The sequence below is a fragment of the Homo sapiens genome, chromosome 5, assembly GCF_000001405.40.
Source record: "Homo sapiens chromosome 5, GRCh38.p14 Primary Assembly".
In the NCBI taxonomy this organism is placed as follows: domain Eukaryota; kingdom Metazoa; phylum Chordata; class Mammalia; order Primates; family Hominidae; genus Homo; species Homo sapiens.
The window spans coordinates 99044997-99062130 of record NC_000005.10 but is presented as its reverse complement, the minus strand read 5'-3'; the positions used below and the strand labels follow the sequence as shown (position 1 = coordinate 99062130).

General features: G+C 37.5%; 1 long non-coding RNA gene across 1 annotated transcript; it reads right to left on the bottom strand.

Moving 5' to 3' along the window:
- Positions 1 to 2144: 2144 nt before the first annotated feature.
- LOC107986436 (uncharacterized) lies at positions 2145 to 15690 on the bottom strand. Its single transcript, XR_001742822.1, has 2 exons — positions 15460 to 15690; positions 2145 to 3542 (listed from the first exon to the last, which is right to left on the bottom strand). It is a non-coding gene; the product is annotated as an uncharacterized LOC107986436 (long non-coding RNA).
- Positions 15691 to 17134: the final 1444 nt, after the last annotated feature.

The window sequence follows — 17134 nt, the reverse complement described above, 5'->3', positions numbered from 1 at the left end:
ATTTTTCCTCTAAAGATGTTCCTTCCCTCCTTGTAACCTGGTCACCACTGTCCACTATCACCTTTGTCACCATTAACTAATATGGAGAGAATCCTACACAAGCCTAAGTTGCATTCTTCCTAGATGCAGACATGCCTGAGCATTTCTGAAGAATGGATGAATCAGAGCCACAAGGAATCAGTTTGAGAAAATTAAAAACAGCCTCAGAGCAAAGAAAAAGAAGTGAAACTTACTGTTTCATCTAATAAAAATGCCCTGGGTAAAGACTGCAAGGAGTGATATAAAGCGAGTGTGTCTCATCTTGTTCTGTGACTTCCCCTCTTCCTCATAGGCTCTCTCTTCCTTCTATCTCTCTGGGAACCCGAGGGGAAGAGCCTTTGACAGAAATATAAGACAGCTGCCTAGCTCAAAGGTCAGAGAGCTACTGGGCACACAAATCAGCATTGCTTTTGAACTTTGAAAAACTATAGAACAAGAGTGGGATTTTTTCCCATTTGGCCAATACAGATCTAAGAAGTCAAAAAACTTGGTGAACCTTGGCATACCTAGAGCACCAGCACATCAGCAGTGACCAAGACCTCTCCACACAGAGCATTGCCCCAGTGACCTCAGCTGGCCTCAACAAGGCAGGAGCAGCCACCTCATGGCAACAGATTCAGGAGACACCTACATATACACAAACAAGCAACACGTGGCAGCCTGCATCTCCTAGGGTCCAGCTAAAGAAAGGAAAGTGTTTGTGTGGTGGCCGAGAAAACTATTTGAACACCTATGGGAATTTACAGGAACTCCCAGAAATAGTTGAGATAGGGACACCTGGAAGTGGCTGGAGCTCCCACAAAGGCAGGTATACAGTCAAAGAAATAATTTACATGACCACTGCTATGAGCCTAATTTTTTTTCCTAGCTTTGTGTGGTCTGGGCATGGGTTATACCCTGACTCATTAAGCCCTATTATCACATTAGCACTGTGCTAATCCCTCTACTGTTACTCAGACTCCAGCTCATCGTAAATGCTCAATGATGCTCAATTAATCTTTCCCGACCACAAGAAGGAAAATTAACGTGTCAGTGGAGGACAGGATGAGGAGGATGGGCCAAAGGAGAACACTGTTGTAGGAGATGCTAGGAAAGGAATGGCAGTCGGATGAGTTATGGAATTGTGCTGGAGGACCCATCCTGCAGTGGCAGACTGCCAGGACTCCAGTGACCACGGTGGGTCTTGACCCTGGAGCTGGGAAAATAAATGCTGAATGGAAGCCTCCCCTTTAGTCAAGTCCTAAATTGAGAAGGAAGGAAGCAGAGATGATTGATATTCTTGCAATTAATTATTATCAATATAAGTTAGAACCAACAATCCATCTAACAAAAAATGTAGTAGGAATTTCATTGCTTTATCGGGAGGTTTTTTTTTTTGTCTTATGTTTGCTTTAATAGAAATTTCTCTCAGTTCAATTCTGTAACTGAGCAAAAATTGTCACACTATTTCAGAAATTCAAATTATTTTGCATAAACAAATAGGAAAATTATTCGTTTTTTCAAACTTCCCTAAACAAGGGAGCTGCCAAAAACACTAGGAGCATTTGTCCACAAGAGGGCGCCAGAAGCCGACGGTTTCTGAGTTTGATGACAAAGTCAAAGGAGGAAAAACACCAAATAAAAAGCGATAGGTAGATGTATCTGGTTCACATGCTTGCCTTATGCTAATGCTTACATCGTATTGAACTCCCTTTAGAGATTCAGGATGTTAAATATGTAAATAGCAACCTCTGAGCAAGGGAGATAGTGGTATCTTTCTATTGAAATTGCCTTGCGACAGTGGGGTTTTTTAAAATGAATTAATTTTAATAGGTTTTCCTCCACTTAAAGGGGAACTGGAAATGCCATTTCAATTATTAGAATCATTGATACATGTCTATTTATGCAATTGCCAAATTGTTACATAAAACAATAGAAAGCATAACAAGATATCTACCGAAGTATATCATTGTTAATTTGCTAAGCAATGCCAATTGTAAGGATTTGGATTTGAAATGAAGCTGCAATGTAGAATACAAACAGAAGATTTTAGAATATTCTATTATAAAAAGAGACAGAAATAACATTGTTTTTAAAAGGGGAAGGACACAATATGTGATAGCAAATTACAGTAGAAATAGATTTATTTTTTTTTTTTTTCAAAAAAGAAAAGGTCAATGGTATTGAGGAACTAAGAGTTCAACTATTTTCAGCAGGAACATGTGAAACTGATGACTGTGACAGGTGCACACCATGTGATTTTATTCATAGTATTCAGTCTCTCACAACTGTATTTACTTTTATATGCAAATAATAACTGTTAATGAGTTATATCATTTCATTGTATATTTCTTAATTTCTTAAATTTCAGCATTTAAAATTGTAACCCAAACACCACACCCTTTATTTTATTTATTTATTTAACTACCTATTTGCTTACTTCTAGAGACAGAGTCTGACTCCGTCACCCAGGCTGGTCTTGATCTCCTGGCCTCACTATGTTGCCCAGGCTGATCTTGAACTCGTGGCCTCAAGTGATCCTCCCACCTCAGCCTTCCAAAGCACTGGGATTACCAGCATAAGCCACCTCACCCAGCCTACACCTTTTATTATGGAAGGGTAGGGTAGTATACTTGATAATCCTAGAGTCTTGTGGGCCAGTCAAGCAGACACACAGAATTTAAAAGAATAAACAAATAGCTTAGATTGGAGCAACATGTTCAACCTCTATATAATCCACAGAACAGTGGAATCTTGGAGTGGATTCTCTATTTAATTCATCTCTTAGTGTATTAGTTTTCTATTGCCACATAATTAGTTATCTCAATACACGTGGCTTAAACCAACACAGATTTATTATCTCAGTTTCTTAGGGTGAGGAATTCAGGAGAATCTTAGCTGGTGTTGGCTCAGGGTTTCTCATAAGGTTGCAGTCAAGATACCAGCCCAGGCTGTAGTCATCTGAAGGCTTGACTGAGAGGAAAGGATATACCTCCAAGATTGCTCACTTGGAGGGGGTTCTCAGTTCCTTACCTATGGACCTCTCCACAGAGCTGCTTGAGAGTCCTCACAACATGGCAGCTGTCTTCTTCATGATTAAGTGGTCCAAGGACCACATGTCTTTCATGATCTAGCCTCAGAAGACAAACTCCATCATTTCCACAATATCCTATTAGTTACACAGGTCAGCCCTTTTCAGTGTTGGAGGAGACTATATAAGAACATGAATACCAGGAGGCTAGAATTCTTGAGGGCCATCTTGATGTCTGGTGCCACACCTAGCTCCTCCAGTGTTCAAGATATTTATGGCATCCCCATATGGCCAACATAAATGTAGGCAGAAAAATATCTTTGCCAAAGGCCTTTTCTATCTCCTTCCTCCCACAACCTCTACAACCCTCTTCATATCCCTTTTCTCCTTGCCCTCATCTCCTTCAACCAAACCCCATGAGTCAGTCATCTGGTCCTTCCTTGTTCAGCTCCTTCACATTCCATTGCCAAGTTGTTGCAGAGATTTTCAGTTGCTGAAGGCAGAAGAGAGAAGAGAAAAAAATCTTCATTTAGGTCAGTCTTTTACCTTTTCGGTATAGGGCCATTAGCTTCTTCATACTATCAAAATCAACACATATTAGTATATCGTTTGCACTTTATTGTACTGAAGAATATCTGTCTCCTTTTTGAGTCAAATTCGCCACAGCTCTGTTTACTTGCTCTCAACAGGAGTCAGTCTTCACATGAGACATGTGGTGGGGAGATGAGGGGAGGGGAATCAGAAATCCATATTGCCACACAACAATTACAATCCACAAATTACTTGTAAATTATTCCTTTGGTATACCTCTTGTCTAATAAAATATAACCTTGCAAATGTAAACAGTGACTACTTAGAAGAAGGTTAGAGATTCATTGAAGAGGGGGAGTCTTTGAAATGAATCAAGGAAGAGAATACCATGGTGTCTCCCTTCACCTACACGAGAGGACAGGGGTGTGTTTCCCTAAAAGCAAGCCAAGGAAAGGGGACCCTAAGAGGACCACTCAGAGATGAAAGTTTTCTCCAAGAGATAGTTCACTCCTTAGGTGGAAGTTTGCTGAGTGGCAAAACTATGTAGGCAAATTGATGAGAGTATTTGGGGAAGCTCTGACATGTCTCAGTTATTTCTCCACGCATGAAGAGACAGACTGGGACTCTAAAGGAATCTGTAAGCAAGAGACCGCTGGAACAGCCCATAATGGTAGGGCAAGGACAGAGACTGACAGGCAAAATGGCCTACACCTCCAGCGTTTAGCTGGCCCTAGATGCACGAATTTTCCCATTTTCCATCATTCTGCCTGCTCTGGGAAGAAAACTGCATGAGTCTAGCAGAGTAAGAACTGAGGTAGGGAGATTGGAAAGCATCAGCCAGTAAGAGCATTACAAACACCAGGAAACTACAGTGCAAAGATCCCTGTGGGTGGAGAGGAAGGCAGAGAACACACAAAATCATCCCACAAGAGAACTAGTGATGGACACCTGCCAAGGTAAAGAGTAATCGGCATTGGTAAAACAGCCCCAGGCTAGACACAGTGGCTCATGCCTGTAATCCCAGCACTTTGGGAGGCCGAGGCAGGTGGGTCACTTGAGGTCAGGAGTTCGAGACCAGCCTGGCCAACATGGTGAAGCCCCATCTCTACTAAAAATACAAAAAATTAGCCAGGCATGGTGGCACATGCCCATAATACCAGCTACTCGGGAGGTTGAGGCAGAAGAATCGCTTGAATCCAAGAGGCAGAGGTTGCAGTGAGCCGAGATTGTGCCACTGCACTCCAGCCTAGGCGACAGTGCAAGAGTTCGTCTCAAAAAAAAAAAAAAAAAAAGGAAGGAAGGGAGGCAGGGAGGGAGGGAGAGAGAGAGATGAGAGAGAGAGAGAGAAAGAAAGAAAAAGAAAGAAAGAAAGAAAGAAAGAAAGAAAGAAAGAAAGAAAGAAAGAAAAGAAAGCCCCAGAAAAAAAAAAGAATAATACCCAGTAATAACTACTCCCATAAAAATATCCAGTAACACCTAACAATTACTGAGTAAGTGCTTTACATAAATCAATTATATGATCGTCAGAACCGTAAGTCATTATTTTGAAAGTCATTATTGGTATTGTGAGGAAGGGACACTGTGGAGACACATAACCAAGGTGACCAAGCTAGTGGGTGGTAGGGCCTCCAACCCCACGTCTCTCACTCCAGAGTTCATGATCTTAACCCCGTTTAACTGCCTCCTTTTTAACCCCTTTACCTCTCTTCACACCCCTGCCCCCGACCTGGACGCTGGAAGAGCCAGGAACAGCATAGTGAGCTGGAACTAAGGAGATAGAAAGAAGAGTTAACACCTCCGCCGTCTCCACCTACATCACTAATTCCTAAAACAGGGTCCAGCTGGAGGCTGAGGCAGGAGAACGGTGTGAACCCGGGAGGTGGAGGTTGCAGTGAGTGAGATCACACCACTGCACTCCAGCCTGGGCGATAGAGCGAGACTCCATCTCAACAACAACAACAAAAAAAAAACAACAGAGTCCATGCCGAGCCTAAAGTGAAAAAACTTTAAAGTGAAGGCAAGATTAGAATGCTGGCTTAGAATGGACTTTTAAACACTTGTTGGCTGGGCGCAGTGGCTTACGCCTGTAATCCCACCACTTGGGGAGGCTAAAGGGGGTGGATCACCTGACGTCGGGAGTGTGAGACCAGCCTGGCCAGCATGGTGAAACTGCGTCTCTACTAAAAATACAAAAAATTAGCTGGGCATGGTGGCGCATGCCTGTAGTCCCAGCTACTCAGGAGGCTGAGGCAGGAGAATCACTTTGAACCCGGGAGGCAGACGTTGCAGTGTGTCGAGATCCCACCATTGGACTCCAGCCTGGGCAATAGAGCAAGACTCCATCTCAAAAAAAAAAAAAAAAGTAAATAAATAAACACTGTTAATGACTGACAAACTAAGAGATCTGTTTAAAAAACGCTGTCAAATAGTGGGAAAGGGGAAGTCCAAAACTCAGGTGTGATATATAGTGGTGGAAAAATAAAGCTATTTTCTGATTGTATACTACGGAATCCAGATCATTCAATAAACGCTGCTTTTAGTAGCTTTTTATAGCTGCTTTTAGTAGTTTGAAACAGACAAATTTGTGCTTATCCTTCTGCCATGCAGATCAAGAGAATTAACTCACCAATGTGTGGACAAGATTAATTTTAGTCATAAATGTATTAAAATATAAGTCTGGAAGGACAGTGAGAAATATCTATTCTCCTTTCAAAAGACTATGTTAAGTCTAACCAATAATGAAAAATAATTGGGCACACAATGTAAATGAAATATAAAGGAAAAATGATTATTGTTTTCAAAGAGTAATTGAATCATGACTTAATAACAAAAGAAAAAACTAATAAGATTTATTTGCATGTTTTTTCAAAAACTCACAACTCTGAAAATTTACAACTTTAAAAATTTTTCTTATTAATTGATTCATCTTTTTACTTTAATACTGGCAGTACAATAAATGACTCAAAACAGTCAAAGCTGTAGGATACATGGTAAAATAGTCTAACTTCCACAAACCACAACTTAGAGTTTGAAGTAAGTTAGACAAATAACCTTTATTTTTCTTCTATCCGCAGATATAAATCATTCTTGAAAAAAAACAGATTTTCTAAAGACATCTGTTTTTCTAGCAGGTTACACATCTAAAACTCTCTCAAGAGTTACTGAGGAAAAAAATGTCAAAAACATTGATATTTTGTACCAGATGATTGCCTAAATGACTTCCCTAAGACATTTTACATATAAAAGAGGTCTGAAGAAAAAAAAAAACCCCTTCTTAGAAAACCTAAGTTCTCTACACAGTCTTTAAAGTTCACTAATCTTGGAAAGGAGGTCATCTCTAGATGAGAAGAGAAACCATTTCAAGGAGCTGAAACCCTAAACAATGGTTCAGTCTGGGGTTTGTAATTGTGCTCACAGAGGGCACAAAAATAACCGTTACCTCATTTTGCTTCCTTCCTGACCTATTGTAATTTTCAAGTGTAATATACTTTTTAAAAATTAATTTTATCACCATCTCCATTTTTAACTGAGGATAAAATTAAAGGGAAAGAATTCCAACTTTTTGACTAACAGCAATAAATGTTAGGCCATACCTCCAGAAATTCTGAGTTGTAATGCATCTTGGGTTAAAACTGAATATTAATACTTTTTTTTTTTTTTTTTTTTGAGACGGAGTTTTGCTCTTTTTGCCCAGACCGGAGTGCAATGGCGCGATCTCGGCTCACGGCAACCTCCGCCTCCCAGGTTCAAGCGATTCTCCTGCCTCAGCCTCCCGGGTAGCTGGACAGAGTCTTGCTCTGTCATCCAGACTGGAGTGCAGTGGCATGACCTCAGCTCACTGCAAACTCTGCCCCCCGGATTACAGGCATGCATCACCAACGCCCAGCTAATTTTGTATTTTTAGTAGAGACGGGGTTTCTCCATATTGAGGCTGGTCTCGAACTCCTGACCTCAGGTGATCCGCCCGCCTCGGCCTCCCAAAGTGCTGGGATTACAGGCGTGAGCCACCAGGCCTGGCTACTATTTTTTAAATAGTTTCCCTAGGATGAGAACCACTGCTCTGGTTCATTTGTGTATACAGGTATGCCTTGTTATTCCTTTACTAATAAGACCTTATGTCCAAACCTAAAGAGTAGGCAGATGCAAACCTCCAGCTATACCTACGTGCAGAGTCTGCCTTGTGTGTTCAACATTCCTGTAATTCTGCAACTACACTGTTCCTGGTCATTCACTGTAGTTTTCCGAGTATTATAACACATATCTTAATTGTGAATCTAAATGAGTCCTAAATGGAATTTAAAAGCTGTTTTTTAAACCATTAAACATATTAGGTGCCTAGACACTATGCATTCATTGAGCCTTTGCTAAAACTGAAATTAGGGCATTGTTTTTACTTCAAATGACCCTTATTACAAATTTATTTAGTATTCATTGGAACAGCATTTTTTGGAATGACATTTGTATTTAAATGCATGTATATTTATTTCTATAGATATTCCATTAATACAGTCTTTGTTAAAAATTAGTTGATACTTCCTCAATTGCCTTATTTGGGTGGAGATGAGTCCTCCCTTCTTTCAGAAGATCCCTGAAGCTGGCCTGATCAAGAGTTCTGGGTACGTAAGGCAAAGTCTCTGGTCTCATTTTGCCATACAAGCCAATCATCATTATTGCAACTGAATCCTCACTTGGTGAGAAAAATCAGGAAAATGTTCATTCTCCAATTATAATGTGGCATATAAAACTGCACAATAATGGCCAAGATAGACATGGAAGCTAGGTAGGAAAAATCATTTTCCATTTGTAAAATATAAGAGTGTCTTTTCAACCAGCAAGGCCATCTAGTCCTTTATCTAACTGCTGATGTTAAAAATAAATATCAGTATTTATGCATTTTTATTCAACAAGAATAACAGTTATTATTTAACTAGCATTTATATTACCATTCATATCTTTTCTCATTCTCATGGCAAATCTATGAGACCAAAAAAAAAAAGACAGGCAAGCTGGAGCTTAGAAATATTTAATGATTTTTTTTTCAGTGTGAAATAGCAAAATGATGGCAAAAGCAAGACCAAATTTTGAATCTCTCTTTTTTTTTTTTTTTTTTTTTTTAGATGGAGTCTTGCTCTGTTATCCAGACTGGAGTGCAGTGGCATGATCTCGATTCACGGCAACCTCTGCCCCCCAGGTTCAAGCAATTCTGACTCATCCTCCCAAGTAGCTGGGACTACAGGCACCAGCCACCACGCCAGGCTAATCCTTGGCCTCCCAAAGTGCTGGGATTACAGGCATGAGCCACCGTGCCTGGCCTTGAAACTCTTAATTCTTACTTTATCTCTAATATAAATGTTAATATATATTAGTTAAATGCAGGGGTATTTCTCTCAGTAATTGTATTAGTCTGTTTTCTGTTGCTTATAACAGAGTACCTGAAATTGGGTAATTTATAAAGAAAATAAATGCATTTCTTAAGGAGGCTGAGAAGTCCCAGGTTGAGAGGCCACATCTGGAGAGAGCCTTCCTGCTGATGGGGACTCTCCGAAGAGACTTGAGGTGGTGAGGGGCATCACATGGACAGGGGCTGAGTGTGCTGAGGTGCTCATTCCCTCTTCCTCCTCTTAGAAAGCCACCAGTCCCACTGCCATGACAACCCATTAATCCATTAACCCATTAATCCATGAATGAATTAGTCCATTCATGAGAGCAGGGCCCTTATCACCCAGTCACCTCTTAAAGGCCCCACCTCTCCAATACTGCACAACGGAGATTACATTTCAACAGGAGTTTTGGAGGGGACAAATATTCAAACTATAGGAATAATTGATCAAGCAACAAGTATTTCTTATTTGCCTAGCACTGTATCCTCAGGCCCCATAGGATGCAAAGAAGAAAAAAGCATAATCTCATAGAATTTAAAGTCTGGTTGGGTCTTGCTAAATTACTACCTCATTTAAATTTTAAATTTTTATTTTTTTAATTTAATATTTTCCATAATACTGTGGCAGATACAACCAGACAAACAAGAATGTGAGAAATGCTACAGAATTAGTTATGTATTTTCTTAAACAAACAGAAACCAGTTTTTAAAAAAGAAAAAAGAAAGACAGAAACCTACTGATGAAAAACTGTTAAGACAAATGTGGCCCTTGTTTAGATCCTACTTTGAATAAACCTACTGAGGGAATAGGAACATTGAACATTTAATGATAGCAAGAAATCATGGGTCATTTCTTTGAAGAGCAATATTAATATTTTAGTCACGTTTTTTAAATAGCCATCAAATTTTAGAAATAAAATTGAAAGGTTAACAGCCAGTTAATAATAGATAAAATTAAAAGGTTAGCAGCCAGCTATTGTTTACTGAGCATGTCATATGCTCCAAGGACTGTTGTAAGTATATTGCATGTATTTTCTCATTTAAAACTTACAACATTAAACATTGGGTCTCATTTTACAGATGAAAAACCGAGGGTCAGATTTCTTAAAAGCAATACCTACAATCATAGAGCTAGCAAATGTTTGAGCTAACGTTTGAACCCAGGTCTGTCTGATTACAAAGTTCACACCTTAGGTCCTCTGTCTGCAGTTAATTGTGTTTGTACATACTGCAGAGCACGAAGCTATGCTTTTAAAGGGAGAAGAAATAAAAAAAAATTCTAATTTTCTTTTTGAAACCAGAGCAATCAAAACTTTTACTGCTACTGAGAGTATATAAGAAATGCTCTCACAAAGAGCAAATCAGATTTTCTTTTGATTGTCACTGTAAGGAATTTGAGAAATTTCTTAGGGGACGCAGAAACATTGTTCTTCTCCTAAATTGGTTCTATAAATTCAGCCAGTGAGTGAACACATTCAAGAACAAGGGATATGGCAGAAAAGGCATTTAAATCACTTCAACTTCAAAATGCTTCGTGCTCTCTAAAACCTTTTGATCATTAAGCCAGCAGTAAGAGGATGTCTAAGTTAGAACATTTTGGGGAATATTTTCCAGAAAGTTTGTAAGAAATACTGATCTTTGAACTGAATGAATTTTCTTCAATAACATATTTGAAGGCAGATGAACCAGTGACAGCCTATTGTTATGAATGCAGTGAATCTTTTATGATGTCTTAGAAAATAATTGGATGTGGTTAAACCCAAGGGTAGAGAGATAGGACTGGAAAGATGATATTTAGAGATACAGAAGCAGCAATGTCTCTCAGATGAACATGTTTGTCCTAATATCTTCTCATGTGAAAAAATAGTGTGAGCCAGCACTAACATATTTTAAAATTTCGGAAGGGGAAAAAAAGAACTATTGCCTGATCTCCATCCATCCACCTCTCTACATGTAAAGCAGACGATGTACCATTCAGCATAGCAATGTCCTTCATATGCAATACTTTATATTTGTAAAATATGTACAAGGAAAGAGCTAGCAGAAGTATATTATATCCACCCTGTAATTCCAGCTACTGCTTCTTATCTCCACCTGTAGCAAAAGATGAATTTGCAGATAAAAGAAAGTGCTTCTTCTCTGAATACTCTCTTCAGATAATACAATTTTATATCTGTTATCAGAGAGTCAAAGAAATTTAAAATTGGGAATGATTTTGAAATTACCTAGTCAAACTTTCCTGATTTGCATATAGAAAAAGTAATCCCAAAGAACTGACTCTCCAATATATTGCACATTTTCAGATTCTTTTTTATCAAAAAAATTGACTGAATTATTAGTCAAGTAATTTACCTAAGGTAATAATAGAGCTGGCTAATGAAAGATCTGGGACTAAAAATAAAACTTTCTTACCCCTCAGGATCATTTTGGAGCAAAAGACTACCTAGATATATTGGGAAATTATAATTAAGCCTTCAAGGATAACTGTGCATATTTTAGCTAAATCTTGCTTTATGACATAAACATCCCACGGGATGAAAAATTTTAAAATTTCAAATATGACATGAGAATAACCGAGTTCTGTAAATATATATGTTTCTGCATTTCAAAGTTAAAACATTAGTAACAAATATAGAAAATATTCTGAAAGGACTATAAAGAAGTAATAGCTTCCTTAAGAAGTAACACACTTCAAGCCATTCTATGAAAAAGGCACGCATTGGGCATTGTGTGCACATTGAAGTACTTTTTCACCAGGAAAATTATTTGAAAAGGTCCTGTATTTAGCATTTCTGAACAATGCTGTATTGTTCATCTGAAAGTTCCTATGGCATTTTAATTTGTTTTTAAACATTCAACTGGATTCAGAATTCTGAAGGTATATGAAATTTTATCTAATTTTAAAATTCACAAGAAATCTCATAAAACAGTGAACACGAACAAAGCGGTATTGAGCAAAAAATTGCAGATGAAGTTATACCAAGAAGCAAAAGCCAACTAAACTCTATTGTTATCATCTCTAATGCTAGTCTTTGAACTTAATAGAAATATTTTTTCTTAAAAAGACATAAATTGGCCAGGCATGGTGGGTGATAATAATAATTACACACTTTGCCGTGGTATATAAAAACATTAAATTTTGTCTTTTTAAAAAATTTTGTCCTGAAGATATAGAGGAGACCAACTAATTGTTTCAAATAACTAAGTCATTTATATCTGTAGGAGATGCATGTAGGGAATATCAAAATAGTAACAAATCTAAAGTTTAAATCTTCCAAGACATGAAGTCAAGAGGAATTAAATGTAATGGATGAATATGATCATGCCAAAAACATAAAAGAGCAGGTCTGAAGAGGCTCCTTCTGGCCAAATTTGGGATAATTTGACATCAAAATAATAATAATAATAGTGAATTATAATGCGTTAAAATTTCTTCATTATTCAAAGTGTTAACAAGGAAAGAAAGAAAAATGAGAGAGAGGAGATAAAGCTAGTTTGGCAAACTATTAATAACTGGTAACTAAATAAAAGATATGGAAATTCATATGTCATAATTGGAAAGCTTACATTCAATCAATTTATTGATGTTAGCTATTTCTATTTAAAAATATATATATAGACAAACATGGAGTGGTCTTCTTGTTATCTATGAAAGAAGAATTTGGAGAGCCTTATTTGAGTGGTGCTGGGTTTCTAGCACTTTCTGGAGGACAGGGCATAGGACTTTTTATTAATTTGACAGTTAAACCACCATTATGAAACTGAGTATGCCAGGGCAGGCATGGTGGCTCATGCCTATAATCCAGCACTTTGAGAGGCTGAGGAGGACGGATCACTTGGGGTCAGGAGTTCAAGGCCAGCCTGGCCAACATGGTGACCCATGTCTCTACTAAAAACACAAAAATTAGCTGGCCGTGGTGGCAGGCACCTGTAGTCCCAGCTACTCCAGAGGCTGAGGCACAAGAACCACTTGAACCCAGGAAGCGGAGGTTGCAGTAAGCCGAGATTGAGCCACTGCACTTCAGCCTATGCGACAGAGTGAGTCTCAAAAAAATTTTAAAAAAAGAAAATGAGTATGCCAAGGGCCAACTGTAGTGACACAAGTTATTAAATTATCCTGAGTCTCTGCTCATGAAGACAACTCAACAGATTTGGGTAGGGGTAAGGGAGGAGAACTATGTTGAGTACTCAATATGCTCTACTTGGCAGACAAAGTTTTATTGACATTATGATTGATACATCAATTTTCTCCAGTTTTAGTGAGTATACATGGTTAAATATGTCTAGTCAATTAGGAAAAAATGTGTTTCTGAGTTTTTAGACAAGCAAACATCGGCAACAGAACAAAGACATGATCGATAACAGAATAGTTTTTTTTAATTAGAGCCTTTATTTTACTACCAAGTATTTCTGAAGTGACCTTGAAATCTAGTAATAATATCAGCAACAAACTAATGTCAGAGGATAAGAAACAGATAGAATTTTATGGTATAAACATCTTCAGGAAAGGCAAAAGAACTTTGACACACTTTCCAATAAAAGACAATATAGACTCTTAGTTAAGAGAGGTTTCAGCCGGGCACGTGGCTCATGCCTGCAATCCCAGCGCTTTGGGAGGCCAAGGTGGGAGGATCACTTGAGGTCAGGAGTTGGAGACCAGCTTGGCCAACATGATGAAATCCTGTCTCTACTAAAAACAAAAATTAGCCGAGTGTGGTGGCAGGCACCTGTAATCCCAGCTACTCGGGAGGCTGGGGCAGGAGAATCGCTTGAACCAGCGAGGTGGAGGTTGCAGTGAGCAGAGATCACACCACTGCACTCCAGCCTGAGTGACAGAGTGAGACTCTGTCTCAAAAAAAAAAAAAAAAAAAAGGAGGAGACTTCAACAAGACAATTTTTTCAACTCTCATCTGTGTATTTCTTTGAAGGATCTCTAATTCCCACAGATGAGTGAGTTGAAATTAATTCATTCAACCAGCATTTGTTCTGAGTCTGTTACATGTGAGGCTTCACTCTGGAGATTCAGCACTGGTCCCTACTTTCATAAATGTTTTGTTATATATTGTCTGTAATTTATTATAAAATTCTTCAACATGGATGGCAAGGTAATTTTCTTTCACAGAGGCCCTAGTCTGCCAAACCACACTCTATTTCATGTGTTATACTGGCCTAATTAATGCATCAGGTTATTTCAGCTTCCAGCACACCACCAGAAGACAAATTAGGGGGACCCCATAATGACAAATCCGGATATTGTCAAATCTAAGACAGTCTTACAACTAATCAAAATTTTCTAAAGATTATGACATGCCAGATGTCCTGGATCCTTGGTATTTACCCTGTAACAAATATTGGCCATATAAATTGTTTCTGGGACCAGCTACAAGACAGTGCCATAATCTGTCTGGATACCCAAGGAGAGGGTTATGGTAGCAGGTGGAAAGTAACAGGATATCAGCATTGGAATCTGACTAATTTGTGGGAACCTTCTCAGCACCAAATAAATATTATAGATGAAATCATCAAGATGAAATGGAAATTATGGAATATCATGGGAAAACCCTGGAAGGAAAAGATTACAGTAAGTGAATCAAATACACCCTTACACGGAAATATAATGAATAAAAAAAGAACAATGATTAGTATATTTACAAATGCTTAGGATATTTTACATAACAACCAGAAACAAATAAGAAATGAAATACACTATAACAATTGTTCCCGGATAGCCATTTTGGCACAAGCACAATGGGAATTATTTTTTAAAATTAATAGAATATGTATTATAAAGCAGCCACATTGGACAGGGTCAGTTAGAGTTCTGAAGACAGATATCTGCTCAGTGAACTGCCTCCAAATTATAGAAACAAAAGAAAGAATTAACATGTATTCCACCTTTTTAGAAGGAATTGTGATTTAGAAAATTAAATAGACCCAGTTGAAGGAAAAAGCAGTCTACATGATGAAGAAAGCTAACTAATAAGTGTGAAATAAATGATAAGAATCACAGATATAACTATTTGCCCTGATTAGATTATCGATGCAGCCAACTCTTATCAATTGGTGTTAAAATAAAATGACATAAATGGCTGTTGGTGACCTGAAAATTCACAGTTCTAGCCAAAAAAATTTGATCACAAACTGAGAAACATAATTTTGCAATAGAAGAATCAGACTTTTATTCCCTTGATCCTGTGGCCAAATTTAATATCACCACTGGTGGGACAATCAGACATTTATGACCATCAATGTGATGCAATGTTAAGTGTACGACATCACCTATGATTTTAACTTTGACAAAAATGTTTAACTTGAATTTAATATAACCTTTAGATTTGACTGCCAGATTACAGAGATTACTGGAGATGAAGAAACAAATAAAACATCACCACAAGAAAGGGATCAAACAGCATAAGATCTTCTAAAGGACAACTGGGAGGACTTCAGCAAGTCAGGGTGTCATGATAAAAGGTACTTTCAAAGAATAGAAGAGACTCACGGGATTTAACAAAATGTACTCAGACTGGATCTTGGTTCAGATTAAACCACCTGAAAAGGGAAAAATAGGAGAAATTTAAATATGGAGTGAGTATTACATGATACTAATAAACTAATAATTTTGTCAGGTGATATCATGTCATTTTGGCTATGTAAGGTGTTTTCAAGGAAGCATATTGATATATTGGGGCAAAATGTTTATTTTACACAAAATAGGTCATCATAGGCAATGCAATATATACATATGCATGAGCTTTAATATACAAACTATAAGCAGAATACTTATACTAAGGATAATTAGCATTTGGAAGACTATTCAAAAGCCCTTCAAGAGTAGCTTCAATTATCTCTATTTCCAGTCACCAAGCCTGCATTATGTACCGCCTGCATCTAAAATAAAAGTGAAAATTATTTTTAAAATAAATAAATAAATATGCCACTCATACCTAGGTTGTAGGAAAAGAGATATATAGAGTCTACCTACATTTAACTATTAGAAGTAGTTAACTATGTAACTACCAAAGGAACCTAATTGTGAACAAGCAATGTAGTTAATGTCAGTTTGAGTTAGAGTCTAACAAACTGCAAGAGCGGTAACTTCGGGCACTCGTGTAAACACTGTGTCGAAAGCAAAAACTCTCTGTGTTAGCTAAACAGGAAATTGTTCTCAAAGAGTTTACATTATGTAAAATAAAAGTAATATCTGGATATCTATTTTCAAACCAAAATTTAGTGCTTAGTTTAACTTTAACCAGTTTAATTCCCAATTCCTTGCCTTTTTCTTTTCTCTACAACAGTATCACACTCCTTAAAATAGATCTTTACTATCTTTTTAACATCAAAAGTATATTTATGTTAGTTCTTTGAAGCTAATCATAAAACATTTTAGACCTACAATTCCCACAAAGTGAAAAAACAAAGGTTGTTTCATAGGACTTCGGGTTCCATCTTATTAATTGATCATAAATCATTGCTTTCCCTTTACTTGCTAATTCTGAATAAGGGCAAGAAAAAAAAAATCTCAGGTTCTTTGTTCAAAAAAGCATTCCTGGTACTGAATCTTGTCACAGTAACTACCAGCTTTGTAGAAGCACAAAAGGAGAAAGAAGCTCCTTAATATTAGATTATTCAGGGCTTGACATTCTTGCTGAATAAGCAACATATTTCCAAAAAAATCAAAGGTCAGATGTCAAATCTTCCTGGCCAAGTGATGACCTGTTTTAAGATTCCCTAGTCACAACTTGTTAGAGCATCTGGCTTTCAATATTTCCTACGACTAACCCTTTATGCATGAAGTAATTCACACAAATAAACAATATATATTTGATGTTATTTTAATTTGGAACTAATTACATGATACTTCAATACAAATTTGCCCCCACTTTATGGAATAAGGCTACTCCTGACAAATTATCCAAACATTAAATATTTGTGGAGTATATATTTTAACTTCACCAGGAGTCCTTACTTAAAATAATAGCATCTACAATATACAATGGAAAACATTCTTTATGTAACAGCAAAAATAATTTATGCTAAGTTGTTGGTGCTTTTGGACAGCAACTTTATATTTCAATTTCTTTCATGTGCTCCTAAATCTATGTGTCTAAATAAGGTGGCACATAGATTTTAAGGCTCATTATTCCAGCTAAACAAGTGGAAATTTAAATGTATTG